The 15,584-nt window shown below is 51.8% G+C and overlaps 1 protein-coding gene across 10 annotated transcripts in view, besides 1 other annotated feature; it reads left to right on the forward strand.

Moving 5' to 3' along the window:
* Nucleotides 1–15,584, forward strand: part of PALD1 (phosphatase domain containing paladin 1) — a 109,966-nt gene that overhangs the window by 81,680 nt on the left and 12,702 nt on the right. For 8 of the 10 annotated variants that reach the window (XM_011539638.3, XM_047425057.1, XM_047425055.1 and 5 more), the window contains 3 exons: nucleotides 938–1,078; nucleotides 1,299–1,370; nucleotides 7,142–7,282. In XM_011539638.3, the coding sequence (XP_011537940.1) occupies nucleotides 938–1,078; nucleotides 1,299–1,370; nucleotides 7,142–7,282 (354 nt within the window). Of the gene's footprint in view, nucleotides 1–937; nucleotides 1,079–1,298; nucleotides 1,371–7,141; nucleotides 7,283–10,872; nucleotides 11,599–15,584 lie in introns of those variants that run through there. The other 2 variants (XM_047425059.1, XM_047425060.1) reach the window with 1 other exon arrangement.
* Nucleotides 1,721–2,221: an enhancer, noted in NCBI's record as "H3K4me1 hESC enhancer chr10:72301641-72302141 (GRCh37/hg19 assembly coordinates)". NCBI's record gives its function as "activates a minimal SCP1, AML or CMV promoter by ChIP-STARR-seq in primed H9 embryonic stem cells {active_cell/tissue: H9 hESC(primed)}" and the evidence as "EXISTENCE:reporter gene assay evidence [ECO:0000049][PMID:30033119]".

Genomic DNA, 15,584 nt, shown 5'->3' on the forward strand with positions numbered 1-15,584 from the left:
TGTGTGTGTGTATTTGTTATAAGGTGTGTGTGTGTGTTGAGGGTGAACATGTCCAGGGTGTCCGTGGTGTGTGTGTCTCAGTTGGGGGACTGTGTATGGAGTGTGTGGGTGGTGTGTGGAATGTGTGTGTGTGTGCATGTCTTTTTATGGAGTTTGTGATGTCTCCCTTGTCTGTATTGGGGGCTGTGTGTGGAAAACCATCTTTAGGGGAGTGGTGTGGTGTGTGGTAGGGTTTGTGGAGGGGTCGTTAGGAATGTGTGTGTGTGGCATCTGTAGGTCTGTGACTGTGGGTGTCTGTATAGTGTGTGTGTTTACCGGACGTGGATCCCTGTGTGGTGCGTGTGTCTGGCGTGTGTTGTAGGTGAGCCACCGTGTGCGTGGTGCGTGTGTTGTAGGTGGGTCGCTGTGTGCTGTGTAACTGGCAATGGGGTCTGTTACCCTGCCTGAGCCCCTCCTGGCGCATCTCTTCGCGGCTCTCACTGCCTGCGGTCTGCTGCCTCCTGGTGGCCTTGTGCTGCAGGGCTCTTCTGAGGTCAGGCCCCCGTCCATGGTGGGACCAGGGCTGGGTCCAGCTCAGGTGGGTGGCAGGGCCAGCAGTCTATGTGCAGCCCAGGGGCGCAGTACACAGGGGTGACATACAGGTGCATGTCCTGCCTGATGGAGGGTGGGTACCTTGAGCCCCAGGTGCATGCTGTGTTGGCTCACACATCCTGTCCAGGTGCTTGGTGTGAGGGTGATTACGACTGCACAGGTGCAGCTGTTTACACGCACATGGTCTCATGCACCCCGGTGAGTTTTGTTTGTGTGTGCAAGCTTGGGAGCCTGACAATTTCTGGCCCGAGGACAGTGGCTGGGGCTGCCATGTGGATGGGGACCCTGTTGGGGTTTGTGCATCCAAGAGACGCCCGCTGACCCAGACCTTGCTTTTCTCGTCCAGGACTTTGACCAGCTGCTGGAGGCCCTGCGGGCCGCCCTCTCCAAGGACCCAGGCACTGGCTTCGTGTTCAGCTGCCTCAGCGGCCAGGGCCGTACCACAACTGCGATGGTGGTGGCTGTCCTGGCCTTCTGGCACATCCAAGTACGTGTGGCCTCTCAAGTGAGATTAGAGATTTGCCTGGAGGAGGGTAGACACTCAGGTCCCAGGCACACTGGCTCCACAGGAGGGTGTGAGGGGCAGAGACAGCCGGGTGTGGTCCCAGAGCCCCTTCCATCAGTCTTGGGCAGCCCCCAAGTCCTCCCCAGCAAGGGGCTCCTGGCGTTGGGAGGGGGCTTCTGTCTCAGCAGCTGTCTTCCCTCAGGGCTTCCCCGAGGTGGGTGAGGAGGAGCTCGTGAGTGTGCCTGATGCCAAGTTCACTAAGGGTGAATTTCAGGTGAGCATGCCCTGCGGGGTCCCTGAGGCACCTTGGGATGGGAGGAGGAGGAGGACTCCTGCTTGCCGGTCTAGGGGTCCTCAAAGCACGTCCCAATGCAGTCACGTCTGCCACCTCATCATATCAGTGCTTCCCTGTTCCCATTTTATAGATGAGCCCAGCAAGGCATGGGACAGCTTGGCTCTGAGGCCCTGGCAGACGGCCGGCTATGGAGATGTGGGCTGGACCCCTCCCTGCCCGGCCTTGCTGTTGGGCTGCTGTGTGCCTTGGGGAGGTCACTGGCCACCGTCTTGTCTGGGTAATGTTGATAACAACCTCCCAGCACCTTCAACCCAGCTGTGGTTGGTGACCTTGTGTGGGTCCCCAGCCTACTTTGCCCTGCCTGTTCCTCTATTTCAGATTAGGGCACTGGATGGCCAGCCACAAACATTCCAGATTTAGTCATCCATGTATTGTGCACCTGCCACATGCCACAGGCCATCTTCTCAGGCATCCCGAGAGTCGTGGCAACGTCCCTCGGAGTTGGCCCATGGCTGACCCACAGTCAGCAGCACAGTTGGCTCGTGTCTTACTGGTTAACTTCGCCACTTGCCCCTCCCCTGCCCTCGCCCCAGTCCTGAGGCCCTGACCGCCATGCAGCACCTCACACTTGCTAAGCTCTTGCAGCCTTTGCATATGCGGTGCCTTCTCCCTTCCTTCTTCTGGCTGATTCTCTGATTCTTTCCTTTTTCCTTTTCTTTATGTGGTAAAATATGCATAACATAAAATGTACCATTTCAACCATTTTTAAATGTACAGTTCAGTGGTGTTAAGTACATTCACGTTGTTGTGCAACTGTTGCCACAACCCATCTAACTCCTTCATCTTGCAAAACAGAACTCTGCTCTCCTATTCAGTAATGATTCCCCATCCTCCCTCCCAGCAGCCCCTGTTCTACTTTCTGTCTCAATGGATGTGACTACTCTAGGAATCTTCTATGAGTGGAATCGTACAGTATTTGTGTTTTATGACTAGTTTATTTCACTGAGCATAATGTTCTCAAGGTTTACCCACATTGTAATATGTGTCAGAATTTCTTTCCTTTTAGAGGCTGAATAATATCCCATTGTATGGATAGACCACATTTTGTTTCTCCATTCCTCCATCAAGGGACACTATTTGCTTCCACCTTTTGGCTGTCATGAGTAATGCTGCTATGAAATGCATAGTGCACGTAGCTGAGTCCCTGCTTTCAGTTCTTTTGGGCATATACTCAGGAGTGGAATTGCTGGATCCTATCGTAATTCTGTTTACTTTTTTGAGGAACCACCATGCTGTTTGCCGCAGTATATGCACCATTTTACATTCCCACCAGCAACACACAAAGGTTCTGATATTTCCACATCCTCACCAACACTTGATTTCTTTTTTCTGTTTTTTTTAGAGATGGGAGTTCACCGTGTTGGCCAGGCTGGTCTCGAACTCCTGACCTCAGATGATCCACCCGCCTCGGCCTCCCAAAGTGCTGGGAGCCACTGTGCCCAGCCGTTTTTTTTTTTTTTTTTTGGATAATAGCCATCCTGCTGGGTATGAAGTGGTATATTGTGGCTTTGATTTGCATTTCTCTAATGATTAGTGATGTTCAATATCTTTTTATGTGTTTATTGGCCACTTGTATATCTTCTTTGGAGAAATGTCTGTTCAAGTCCTTTGTCCATTTTTGAATTGGATTGTTGTTGAGTTTTGGTTCTTTATATATTCTGGAAACTAATCACTTATAAGAGAGGTGATATGTAAATATGTTCTCTATTCTGTGGGCTGACTTTTTACTCATTGATAGTGTCATTTGATGCACAAAAGTTTTTAATTTTGATGTAGTTTGTCTGTTTTTTCTTTTGTTGCCTGTGCCCTTGGTGCTATATCCAAGAAATCATTGCCAACTCCAATGTCATGAAGCTTCTCCCTTGTGTTTTATCCTAAGACTTTTATAGTTTTTAACTCTTAGGTTTAGGTCTTTGATCCATTTTGAGTTAGTTTTTTTTATATGGTGTGAGGTGAGGGTTATCTAAGTTTATTCTTTTGCATGTGGATATCTGGTTTTTCCAGCACCGTTAGTTCAAGAGTCTGTCTTTCCCCATTGAAGGGTCTTGGCACCCTTGTTGAAAGCCAGTTGACCATATGTATAAGGGTTTTATTTTCCAGCTGAGTTTAGTCTTTGCATCGGTGCCTTGAATGTGATGGTCAGGCCTCTCCTTCTTCACACCAGGCCCCGTGCTGGGAGCTGTGTGTACTCCCTCTGTCCCCTTTCCCAGCTCCCAGGAGGTAGGTGCTTTTACTGCTCCCAGTTTATAGATGAGAAAATGAGGCCTGGGGAGACAAGTTTATTACCCTAGGGCCACATCAGAGAGGTGGGGCTGGGGTATAAGCCAGGCTGTAGACCTCAGAGCCTGTGTTCCAAAGTTACATCATATGACCTGAAGACACCCCTGTACACCCTATCCTCACCCACCCCCAGATAATCTAGACCAGCTTCCTTTGCAATTAGTTCAGCATTTGCTGAGCCCACAGTCTGTTGGGGAGAAAGGATCAATAGAGCGTGAAGAGGCCCAGAGCAGACACTGGTTCTAAGGGCCAAGAGTGCAGCTGAGGGAGCCTGAGAGGACTTCATAGAGGAGGCAGCATTTGAGTGCCTTTGGGGAAGATGAGTGAGTATCCTTGGTGAGGAGGGGAGTGTCTGGAGGGATCAAGTGTGCAAAGGAGGGATTCTGGAAAGGGCAGGAACTATGTAAGGCTGTGATTTGTCAGAAGGGAAGCAGGCAGGACTGAGGGGTGGGGGCCCATATTGTGAAGGCCCTGGAGGTTTGCACTATGTGTTTGACCTTGACCGTGAGGCCAGGAGGGAGGCAGAGGAGGTTGTGATCAGGCTCTCAGTCTGGGGGCCCCAGCAGGCAGTTATATGTGGACTGGGGAGTGGAGGGAGAGGCAGGAGCTGAGTGAGGAGGGGCTGCAGGGTGAGCAGGAGCAGCCCAGTCCTCATTGGTAGGTCTTGAGGGCTCCTGGATGTGGGGTGAGGAGGGCACCTAGGATGACCTCGAGTTTCTGGCTTTGCAGTAGTGACAGCTGTCGATGTGGAATTCAGGGGAGGAACAGCTGCAGCAGAGGCCAGGAGTTGGGTTCCCTGTGAAGAGCTGCAGCCCTCTGTCTGAGGTGGCCCCCAGAGGACGCAGTTCCCTGCACCCTCCTGGGGACCTGCCTAGAGCTTGGGATTGGGGATGTGGACTGGACAGCTCCCTCCTACTCCCCTGGGCACAGCCTGAGCCAGATCTGCCACTAGTTCCTTCCAGACTGTTCCTTTTTCTCCTCCCACTTGGTTGCAACTCCATGCCTGCTGGGGTGCCCAGCACCAGGCCAGGACTCTGAGAAACGCAGGAGTTGGGGAAAGGCCCTTCCCTGTTCTTAAGTGGCAGCCAGAGAGAGAAGAGAGCGAGTTAGGTGTTCATTCATTCACTGGGCAGCTGATGCTGGGGCACCGGGCAGGTGCCAGGCACCACTCCAGGTGCCGGCAGAAAGCCCCTCACTTAGTGGGGAGCAGGTGTGAAAGTGGAAGCAGATGAGCAGGTGGCTGTCGACCACGGGACAGGGCGCTGTGGGGACCTTGCAGGGTGGTGGGGGTAGGTGGTGGGAGGGGTTATGGGTGATGCTGGAGAGGTAGGCTGGACCCAGTGGTGCGGGGAGCCTTTAGACCCCAGTTTCTGTGCTGAGTGTAAGAGAGCCATGAAGAGATCAAAGCCCGGGGATTATACAACATGGGTTCACATTTATACTTTCGTAAGACCTCTCTGGCCACCAGGGAGAGGGAGGGCGGGGAGGAGGTGGAGACGCTGGTCAGAAGGGTACTGCTGTGGAGGCAAAGGGGGATGGGGGTCTGGATCAGGTGCCAGCTGTAGAGAGGTGCAGTGTAGACAGATTTGGAGGGGAACTCAGCACAGGGTGGCTGGGAGGGCCTGTGGGGGAAAAGCCATAGAGTAACCTAAACAGGCTTCAGTTTTCCCAGCAGTAAGGGGCAGATTATATCATTTTTTTTCTTTTTTCTTTTTCTTATTACTCAGAGATGGGGTCTCACTATGTTGGCCAGGTTGGTCTTGAACTTCTGGCCTCAAGCGATCTCCCCACCTCGGCCTCCCAAAGTGCTGGGATTACAGGTATGAGCCACTGCACCTGGCTGGGGTGGGGAATTATATCAGATGAGTGGTGTCCAACTCTGAGCGTCTGCGCAGTGGCTGGGGGCTGCTGCAGGTTAGGAGGAGGGTGGGGAGGCTTCTTACACCCCCTCCTCACCCCTCCAGCCCTAGTACGTGACAGCTATCTGTTTTATAGATCAAAGTTCTGCATGAGGCCTCATTTGAAGCAGGATTTCTACTGCTTAAAAAATAAGCACCTCGACCAGGCGTGGTGGCTCATGCCTGTAATCCCAGCACTTTGGGAGACTTAGGCGGGTGGATCACCTGAGGCCAGGAGTTCAAGACCAGCCTGGCCAACATGGTGAAACCCTGTCTCTACTAAAAATACAAAAATTAGCTGGGTGCGGTGGCAGGTGCCTGTAATCCCAGCTACTCGGGAGGCTGAGGCGGGAGAATTTCTTGAACCTAAGAGGCAGAGGTTGCAGTGAGCCGAGATCTCACCACTACACTCCAGACTGGGTGACAGGGCGAGACTCCATCTCAAGCAAAACAAAACAAAACAAAACAAAAATAAGCACCTTAGATCAGCTTAACATTCCATGGGTGCATTGGGGTGGTTTTTGTATCATGTAATACAAAGCATACAAAATGGCAATTTGGAGTCACAGTCGTGCATTTAATATGTCTTGAACATCTTAAATGACTTATATTCCCATGGTTTTTTTTGTAGAATTATTTCTAATGTAAACCACTTCTTGATTGTGGCTCTCCTGTGAGAACTGTGTGCACTCTGTGATGTCTTTGGCTGTGGCAGTCCCGTTTTCCTAGTAACTCTATTGATGTGCTTGGACACTGAAAATCTGTGTAGTGTGCAAGACATTAAGTTGTGGATTGGTGGGGCTTATGCCACAGTTTATCAACACTTGAAAATACTGGTACTTAATATCTTCTTAAAGAACAATTTGCCTCCAAATTTTAAGCTGGAAAGTTAATGGAATAACTTTCCAGCACTTTGGGAGGCCAAGGGTGTGGATTGCTTTAGCCCAGGAGTTCGAGATTAGCCTGGGCAACATGCCAAAACCCCGTTTCTACTAAAAGTACAAGATATTAGCCAGGCGTGGTGGCATGGGCCTTTAGTCCCAGCAGCTCAGGAGGCTGGGGTAGGAGGATCACCTGAATCCAGGAAGTTGAGGCTTCAGTAAGCCCTGATCATGCCACTGCACTCCTGCCTGGATGACAGAGTGAGACTCTGTCTCCAAACAACAACAACAACAACAACAATAAATGTCAATGGAATAACTAAAAAGGAATCATAATCCATGCCTTTTTTAGATATTCGGTACAAATTCAATGTCTGTGTACTGATCCTCAACACAACCAATAAATCCCAATTGTGGAGGAAAAAGAAAAGCATCTGGGTAGCCTGGCCCCGGAGATGTTCAGGATCCCCCTGTCCTCCCTCAGTCTGAGAACTGAGGAGCAGGCAGGGCTCTCTGTTCAGCGCCTGGGCCTTAGGCCTGGTGTGGCCTTTTGGTGAGGGTGCAAGCCTGGTGCTTGGGCTGAGGGCTCTTACCAGTTTTATGTCTGCTCACCCCCCTTCTCTGGCCCCAGGTAGTAATGAAGGTGGTGCAGCTGCTACCCGATGGGCACCGTGTGAAGAAGGAGGTGGACGCAGCGCTGGACACTGTCAGCGAGACCATGACGCCCATGCACTACCACCTGCGGGAGATCATCATCTGCACCTACCGCCAGGTGAGCCCCCACCCCACCCCACCCCACCCTGCCCCAGCCACCCTTCCAGGTGTGCACAGCCAGGGAGTGGCTGATGTGGCTTTGGGGTTGCTAGGGGTCCTAGGGGCCCCTCCTTGGCTCGTGGTCACTTTTCCACCTTCTGGAAGTGGAAGTGATCCATGAGATGGACACATCCCCAGCCCCGACCCACTGGTATGGGTACCAGATTCTGGAGTGGTAGGGGAGATGCATGCAGGGGCCATGTTCAAAGCATTCAACAACTGCTGTGGCCCTAGGACCAATCAAGGATGTGGCCAATCAGAGTGAACACCCAGGAGCCCTGTGGTGCCAGGCGTTAACCCTCTTGTTTCTGGGTCCTGGCGGGGGGACCAGAGGTCCCAGACAGGAGTCAGGTAGTGGGTGGGTGGAGACCCTCAGGGTCTTGGGGTGGCTGTTTCACAACTAGCACGGAGGCTGTCATCTCAGGACGTGGGTATGTCTGTGCTGCCCTGGGGCTGGGGCTGGCTCCCAGATGGGGTGTTTTTTATCTGTAAAAATTGTTTTTAAATAACTCATTACATTATAAAAATAAAGTTTTGGCCAGGTGCAGTGGCTCACCCCTGTAATCCTAGCACTTTAGGAGGCCGAGACAGGCAGACCACCTGAGGTCAGGAGTCAGAGACCAGACTGGCCAACATGGTGAAACTCCATCTCTACTGAAATACAAAAATTAGCCGGGCATGGTGGCAGGCGCCTGTAGTCCCAGCTACTCGGGAGGCTGAGACAGGAGAATTGCTTGAACCCGGGAGGCGGAGGTTGCGGTGAGCCAAGATCGTGCCATTGCACTCCAGCTTGGGTGATAGTGAGACTCCTCAAAAAAAAAAAAGTTTCATAATAGTCCAGATTTCATGTAACCATCTGGATTTTCAGCCTATCTGGAAAGAATGTGCCCTCAAGCCTGCCTGGGTCCCCAATACTCCCTGCTCTGTTGCACTCGGCCCTACTGGACCAGTCCCATGACCACAGGCTAGTGTGGGCTCTGGAGTTTTTGGCCTGGGTCTCTGTGTGGAGTATTCACTTCTGTTCCTCTCTGGCCCATTGAATCTGATTGGCTTCTGGAACAGAGGCCGGTGCTGAGTGGGAGGGGCAGTGGTGGGAGCCGGTGGGTAGGGGGTGAGGATTCCATGGTGCTGAGAGAGGGCTATATGTACCAGCCATGTGTTCCCCACTGCTGGCCAGCAATTCTCAGAAACAGCTCTTGCCTGTGGCCCCTGCAGAGGGGGCCTGCCCCAAGCCAGCCCTATGCTCGGCTGTAGCTGTGCACACATTGGGGAAATGACTGATTGGGCCCAGCTTTTGCTCAGGGTCATGGATCAGGCCCTGATTGGGGCAAAGGGTGGATGCCTAGCTGGAAGGCAGGGCAAGGCATCTGGGGTCAATCTGGGTCTAAGATCAGAGGTCATTTGGGAGGGGAGTTTGGAGAGATAAAGAGGCTGCCAGGCCAGGGGAAGAGTGGCTCACACCTGTAATCCCAGCACTTTGGGAGACTCAGGCAGGAGGATCACTTGAGGCTAGGAGTTTGAGACCTCCCTGGGCAACATAGCAAGACCTTGTCTCTACCAAAAAAAAAAAAAAAAAAAAAAGGTCTGTTAAATGTGGGGAGGGGAAGGTGGTTAAGGAGTTTCAGAAGACGGACTTTGGTGAATTTAGGAAGAACTGTTTTCTTCAGGGCCACAGTTAGATTGGGTCCTGAGTCTCCTTTTGAGTTACCTTTGGGTCCCACTCACAATGGTCTTTTGGCAGCAATGAGCTAAGAAGCTAAGTTCCTCCCACTTTCAGAGGATGCTGAGAGGGCTGAGAATGGAAGCTTCCAGTTCAGTCTGGAAGCTGGAGGCCCAATAGTTGAAAAAGGATGCCTGCTTCAGAGCATCTTAGACCTTCCATCCCATGCTGGCCAGGCTCTGTTAGAGAGCCCCTACCTCCCTGACTCCTGAAGCTGATAGGCCCCCCTTCCTCTGAGCTCTGCAGCCCTCGATGTCCACTGCGAGGCACCCAGAGGGCGGAGCAGGGAGCGTGACAGGGCCTGAGCCGTGGGGAGACAGGAGGGCTCCCCCAGAGCTGGCCTGGAGCAGTGTCCTCAGAGACAGCCTGGGAAGGCGCATCAGGTGGGAGGGGATGCATGGCAAAGGCCAGGGGGCCGAAAGGTGCAAAACGAGTTTAGAGGCAGCAAAGGTGGTTCGGTGCCCGCATCTGATGACACAGAAGTTATTGGAGATGAGTTGGTATGGGTGAGTTGGCACTCCTCCCTGGACATTGGAGAGGGAAGGGTAGTTGGGGCTGCTAGAGGTGACTGCTTGACTCTGTTGGCATTGGAGAAGGAAGGTGGCTGGGGCTGTTAGAGGTGGTCACTCTGGCTGCCTTCTGGATGTGAAGTGTTTTTTAATGAGAGAGGAAGCAGAGCCAGCTAGGATTCTTACCCGCTCCCACCAGGTCACCCACCCCCTTTCCAAAGGCCAGGTTGGTCGTGACCTCTGCAGTGGGAGGACACAGATCCCTGAGCCCCAAGGCCCCTTGGAGGGCCCAGAGGCAAGATGTAGAGTCATTCTGGGATATGGCCACCAGGTGGTGCCAGTGACCTACCTGGCCAAATTCTTAGAGGCACTGAAGAGCAGAGGGACTGAGAGGAGACACCCTCTAGTTCAGGGGCTTGCACCCCACATGTCCAAGAGATCTGAGAGCTTTAAACCATGCTGTGGCAGAGCTCCATCCCTAGAGAGTCTGATTTAGTTGGTAGGGGTGTCTTGGCCAGGGCACGGGTCTTGTTTTTGAAGTCTCCCAGGTGATTCCAACACACAGCCAAGGCTGAGAGCCACATATTCTAAGCAGCGGCCCCCAGCTTTAGTGGGCTTCAGAATCACATGTTAGACTTGTTAAAATGCAGGCTGCTGGGCCCCACTCTGGAGCTTCTGATTCTGTAGGTCTGGAGGTCTAACACACTCCCAGATGATACTGATGCTGGCGGGGACCACACTAGGGGATGTATACAATTCACGATGTATACAATTCATGTGCCATGCAATTCACTTATTTATGGTGCACGAGTCCCTGGTTTTTAGTACATTCATAGAGTTGTGCATCCAGCACCACATCAAGTTTAGAACATTTTTCATCACCCTAAAAAGAAACCTCACACCCGCTAGCAATCGCTTCCCCTCCCCCACCATCTGGCAGCCACTGATCTTTCTGCCTCTGTGGATTTGCATGGTCTGGCCATTTCGTATAAGTGGAATCATACACCATGTGGTCCTTTGTGTCTGGCTTCTTTCACTTAGCATAATGTTTGAAGGTTTATCCGTGTTGTAGCATGTATTATTACTGCATTTGTATGGCTGAATAATATTCCATTGTATAGACATATCCCATTATGTCTGTCTGTTTATCAGCTGATGGACATTTGGTTTGTTGTAGAACTTTTTGGCTATTATGAATAATGTTGCTGTGAAAATTCATGTACAAGTTTTTGTGTGAACGTATGTTTTCATTTCTCTTGGTTATATACCTAGGAGTGGAATTGCTGGATCATATGGTAATTCTGTGTTTAACCTTTTCAGGTTAACCACCGTGAGTTGGTGGCTGAGTGGGGATGAGAGGCAACGATCTTCACTCCCAGCCCACGCTCCTCCCCAGACCATGTTGTCCTTGACCCAAGGATCTCATCCATGTTGCCCCAGTGGGCTGCAGGGAGATGTGCGGAGTCTCTAGAAAGGCAGCGGCCCCTACCACCCCTTCTCTCTAATGGTGACTTCTGGAAATTGGCAGCTGGGTCTCACCTGTGGTATCAGCTGTTTATTTAAACTTCTGCCCTCTGGTTTCAAACCAGAAGTCCCAGGTGGCCTCCAGCAGGGTCTGTGGTTCTTTGCTCAGAGCCGGGTGCTGTCCATGCAGAGGGTGCCATCAGCCTGGTCAGATCCCCCACAGCCTCTGGATGTAAATGGACCTGAGCTCAGGCTTGGGTAGGGCTTTATCCCCTCCATCGGCTTAATTTGCCCGGGAATGTTCTAGGACCAGTCCACATTTGGCCCATCTGAAGTTTTCCAAAATCCCAAGAGTCCACTTGGGATCCTGAAATTCAACAGCATGTGTCTGCTTGGCTTCCTGCCCCTCACTCCCCAGAGCCCCCAAATGGTGAATTTCCTTTTCCTGGCCCCCTGCCGGCTTCAGCAGTCAACTTATACTTTAGTAATAAGCAGTGAAGAACACAGCTCCTGTGATATGGCATTTGTGCTTCTTCAGCAATAAAACTATTCCAGGGCCCTCAGTTGGGAACAGTGGAAGAATTTGGAGGTCAGTTTCCTGTTGTGGATCAGAGAGGAGGGCTCAGAATGTACATGAATCTTCATCTGCACCCTGAGGTTGCACAGCAAGAATAAGGACAGTAAGTACCAAAAGCTTAGGTGGCTCAGGTTGAGCAAAGAGTCTCCCAGTCTCCCAGAATCCTGCCAACTCAGCGATGATTTTACTTTTGCCCGTTTCCTTCTGGGCTTCGTGCACTTGCATGCAGCTCTCTGGAAGCTGTGATTGTGGCAGGCCCACGGGACGTCTCTCGCCACTCACCTAGGCTGTGTTTATGCATTTCAACATGTGCCCAGCCAGCATGTGCTGCCTCAGTGCTGGGCCCTGGGCGGACACTGAGTAGGGACCGGTGATGAAAGGTGCGCAGAGCTGACGTTCTCGTAGGGCAGAGAGAGGCAAAATTAAGCAACAGCTCCGGCTTCTGGGCATTTTGTCGTGTTTGCTGAGGAGCCCTTACATCATCGCATTCCGTGTTCACATTCCATGCAGTGAGTGGAAGTACTGTTTCTCATGCTGTTGCTGTGTGTAGCACGCGCGGCCCTTCACATTCTTTCCTGTCGTCTTCTGGGATGGGGGGTGATGTGGACCTCGTAGCGCATGTGGCTTTTCCGTTGTGTGGATTATTTTTGTAAAGCTGATACTTAGAAGTAGAATTACTGAATGAGTCAAAACTTAGGAACTTATATTTTTAAGTATTTTGGAATGTTTCAAACAGAAAATTTCAAAGCAGAGAGCATAATTTCCTCAGCCCTCATGTGCCCACCTCCCAGCTGCAGTAAGTACCCATCTCAGCCAGTCTTATTTTATCTCAAGCCCTCCGAGCTCTCACTGAATTATTTTAAAGCACATCGCAGTCCTCATGTTACTTCTTCTGTGCATATTTCAGTACGTACCTCTAAAGAAGGGGGATCTTTTAAAGAAGGCAGTCACACCGCCATGATTGCCTCTTAAACAATGGACAGTCGCTACTTACCAGCAAACATCTGGTCAATGTTTAGATGTTTCCACTAATCTCACAGGCTTTTTGCAGCTGGATCAGGATCCAAACAAGATCCACATGTTGCATTTGGTTGACGTGGCCCTAAGTCTCTTTTAATCTCATACAGTTCTCCTTTTCCCCCCTGAAATATATTTGTGAGGTAAACTGGTTGTCTTCCTGGGCTTCCTGGAGCTAATTTTCCTAGTTGCACCCCTAGGTTTAAGTTGGCCTGTGCTTCCTGGAAATGGTTCGCATCCAAGGCTTCATAAGATTCCGGCTCAGTGTGGCCGGAATGGTTACTGGGGGTGCCGTATGCTGCTGTTGGGGCTGGAAGATCCTGTCGTCTCTCCTATTATGACTGGCTTGCAGCAGTGTGCATCGCCAGCTTGCAGAATGGTGATCTGCTGGCTCTCTCATTCCATCTACATTAATTAACTGCGATACTTCCAGAACGAGAGACTTCCCCTCAGGTGTGTTGGGGACAGACAGGCAGGTTCCATGTTTGCTGTTTCCTTTGATTTCCCTGTCTCCAGTGGATGGGTTGGTTTGGGAGATGCTTGTCTAAAAATGAGGGAAAGATGTTGGCTTCAGCAAGGCCTAATGTTCCTCCAGATTTGGATGTGGCTGGAGTCTGTGAGGAGAGTCTGGGTGACTGGAGTGAGAGCCAGCAGGGAGTGGGATGGGGTAGAGGCTCATGCGGAGGGACAGGGAGTCACTAGAGACCCAGTGCCGGCCACACATGTCCTGACATCTCCTTAGCCAACTTGGAAGTAGTCCGAGAGGTGCCCATGCTGGGCTGATAGACATTTTTACGACCACCGTCCTCACTTTGCCTGTGTGTGATAAAGGGTGTTCTAATGTTGGTTCCGGTTTTACATTTGAGGAGGGAGGCACTGAGCTTGCCCAAGAACACACAGCTGGCAGATTTAGGAGGGGGACAAGACCCGGCCCCTGACTCCCAGATTGAGCCTCTCTGCCATGCCACATGGCCTCTCAAGCGGGCGGAGGCACCATTTCACCTCTCCCTGCCCACCTTGAGCCCTGCTGCAGGGAAACAGAACTGGAAGCCATGGTCCTTGCCTTTGAGGAAGTCGCAGACTGACCAGGAGAAGGACAAGGACAAGAACACATCCCAGACACAGGTTGTGGGTGCAGCTGGGAGGTAGTGGAGCCAAGCCTGGGGACATATTTTCCACTGGGACAGACCTTCCCTGAGGGAACAGCCTCGACCCTTCTCTCTATGCCTGTCTCAAGCAGCCCGACTTCACGGGGCTGCAGCCCACGGCGGTGCCCCTCTGTTCTCCAGTGTCTGCAAGGTTGAGTCAAGGCTTGGATGCCTCCTGCATGTGAAGGGGCCAGATGCTTGGGGCATTTTAAGAACTGCCTCAAGGCCATGCACTCTGGCTCATGCCTGTAATCCCAGCACTTTGGGAGGCCAAGGTGGGAGGATCACCTGAGGTCGGGAGTTCAAGACCAGCCTGGCCAACATGGTGAAACCCTGTCTCTACAAAAAATACAAAAATTAGCCGAGCGTGGTGGCGCACACCTGTAATCCCAGCTACTCGGGAGGCTGAGGCAGGAGAATCACTTGAACCCTGGAGGCAGAGGTTGCAGTAAGCCGAGATCATGCTGCTGCACTCTAGCCTGGGTGACAGAGTGAGACTCCATCTCAAAACAAACAAATAAACAAACAAACTGCCTCAAAAGGAAAAAAGAAAGAAAACCCATTGAACTAAGCCACTTCCAGCGCTTTGGACGGAAGTTAGAATGCCGGGCCCTGGCTGAGGAGAATCCAACATGGCCGCCAGCCCAGGGCGGTGACACCCGCAGCAGACTTCGTTGTTTCCTTTTGGGCTTGGAAAGGGAAAATATTTATGACAAAAACCAAAGTCAGGGCACCTGGAGGAAGCCCTGCTAGAATCATTAATGCCAGCGACACTTTTCCTGGGCTTTGCCTGGTGACGTTAATTCTTAGTGTTGGGTTTTTAAAACAGCCTGTGTCTCCTGTTTTCCTTTCAGAAGAGTTTGAAGAACAGCTGAGGTGAAGGGAGCCACACAGGGAGAAGGAAACATCCTCTGGTCTCAAAGCGAGATTTATTGTATAAAGACTGTAGTGCTTTAACTTTGAGCAGTGCTTTTTGAGCCTCCCCTCCCCTCTCCTCCCCTCCCCCTCCTCCCCCTCCCCTCCCCCTCCTCCCCCCTCCCCTCCCCCTCCTCCCCTCCCCTTTCTTTGAGACAGAGCCTTGCTCCGTAGCCCAGGCTGGAGTGCAGTGGCACAACCTTGGCTCACTGCAATTTCTGCCTCCCAGGTTCAAGTGATTTTCCTACCTCAGCCTCCCAAGTATCTGGGATTACAGGTGCCTGCCACCACCACTCCCGGCTAATTTTTGTATTTTTACTAGAGCCGGGGTTTTGCCATGTTTCCCAGGCTGGTCTCAAACTCCTGGACTCAAGTGATCCACGAGCCTCGGCCTCCCACAGTGCTGGGATTACAGGTGTGAGCCACTGTACCTGGTTGCTATTTGAGTTTTCTAAGAACTCACCTTTTGTCTTTTGTGGTCCTCAGACAGATGGTGAGAACAGGACAAATTTTATTAGACCCATTTGACTGAGAAGAAACTGAGGCCTAATGAAGTTTTGTGATTGGCTGGAGGCTGGACCAGAAGCTGGTTCCCAACTCCTCGACTTGCATCCCTTTTCTGCCGCTGTGGCAGCCACGACCCGGGGGCAATCTTGTGGTGGCAGAGAAGGGAAGCGTTGGCAGGGAAGCTGCCAGCCGCTACTGTGTGACTGCCTGGGTTGGTGCAGAGTTGGTCCTGCGACCAAAGGAGCTTCCAGGAGGTCAGAGAGACCAGCTCCGTGCCCCAAGGGCTGAGGTCATTTCTTAAGAAAAAAGACCAGAGAGCTCTGGCTCTGAGCCCCAGGCAGGGTCTTTCTCAGCCTCTTGAAAACTCTGGCTGTTGGCCGGGCGCAGTGGCTCCCGCCTGTAAT

This window comes from Homo sapiens, chromosome 10 (genome assembly GCF_000001405.40).
Source record: "Homo sapiens chromosome 10, GRCh38.p14 Primary Assembly".
In the NCBI taxonomy this organism is placed as follows: domain Eukaryota; kingdom Metazoa; phylum Chordata; class Mammalia; order Primates; family Hominidae; genus Homo; species Homo sapiens.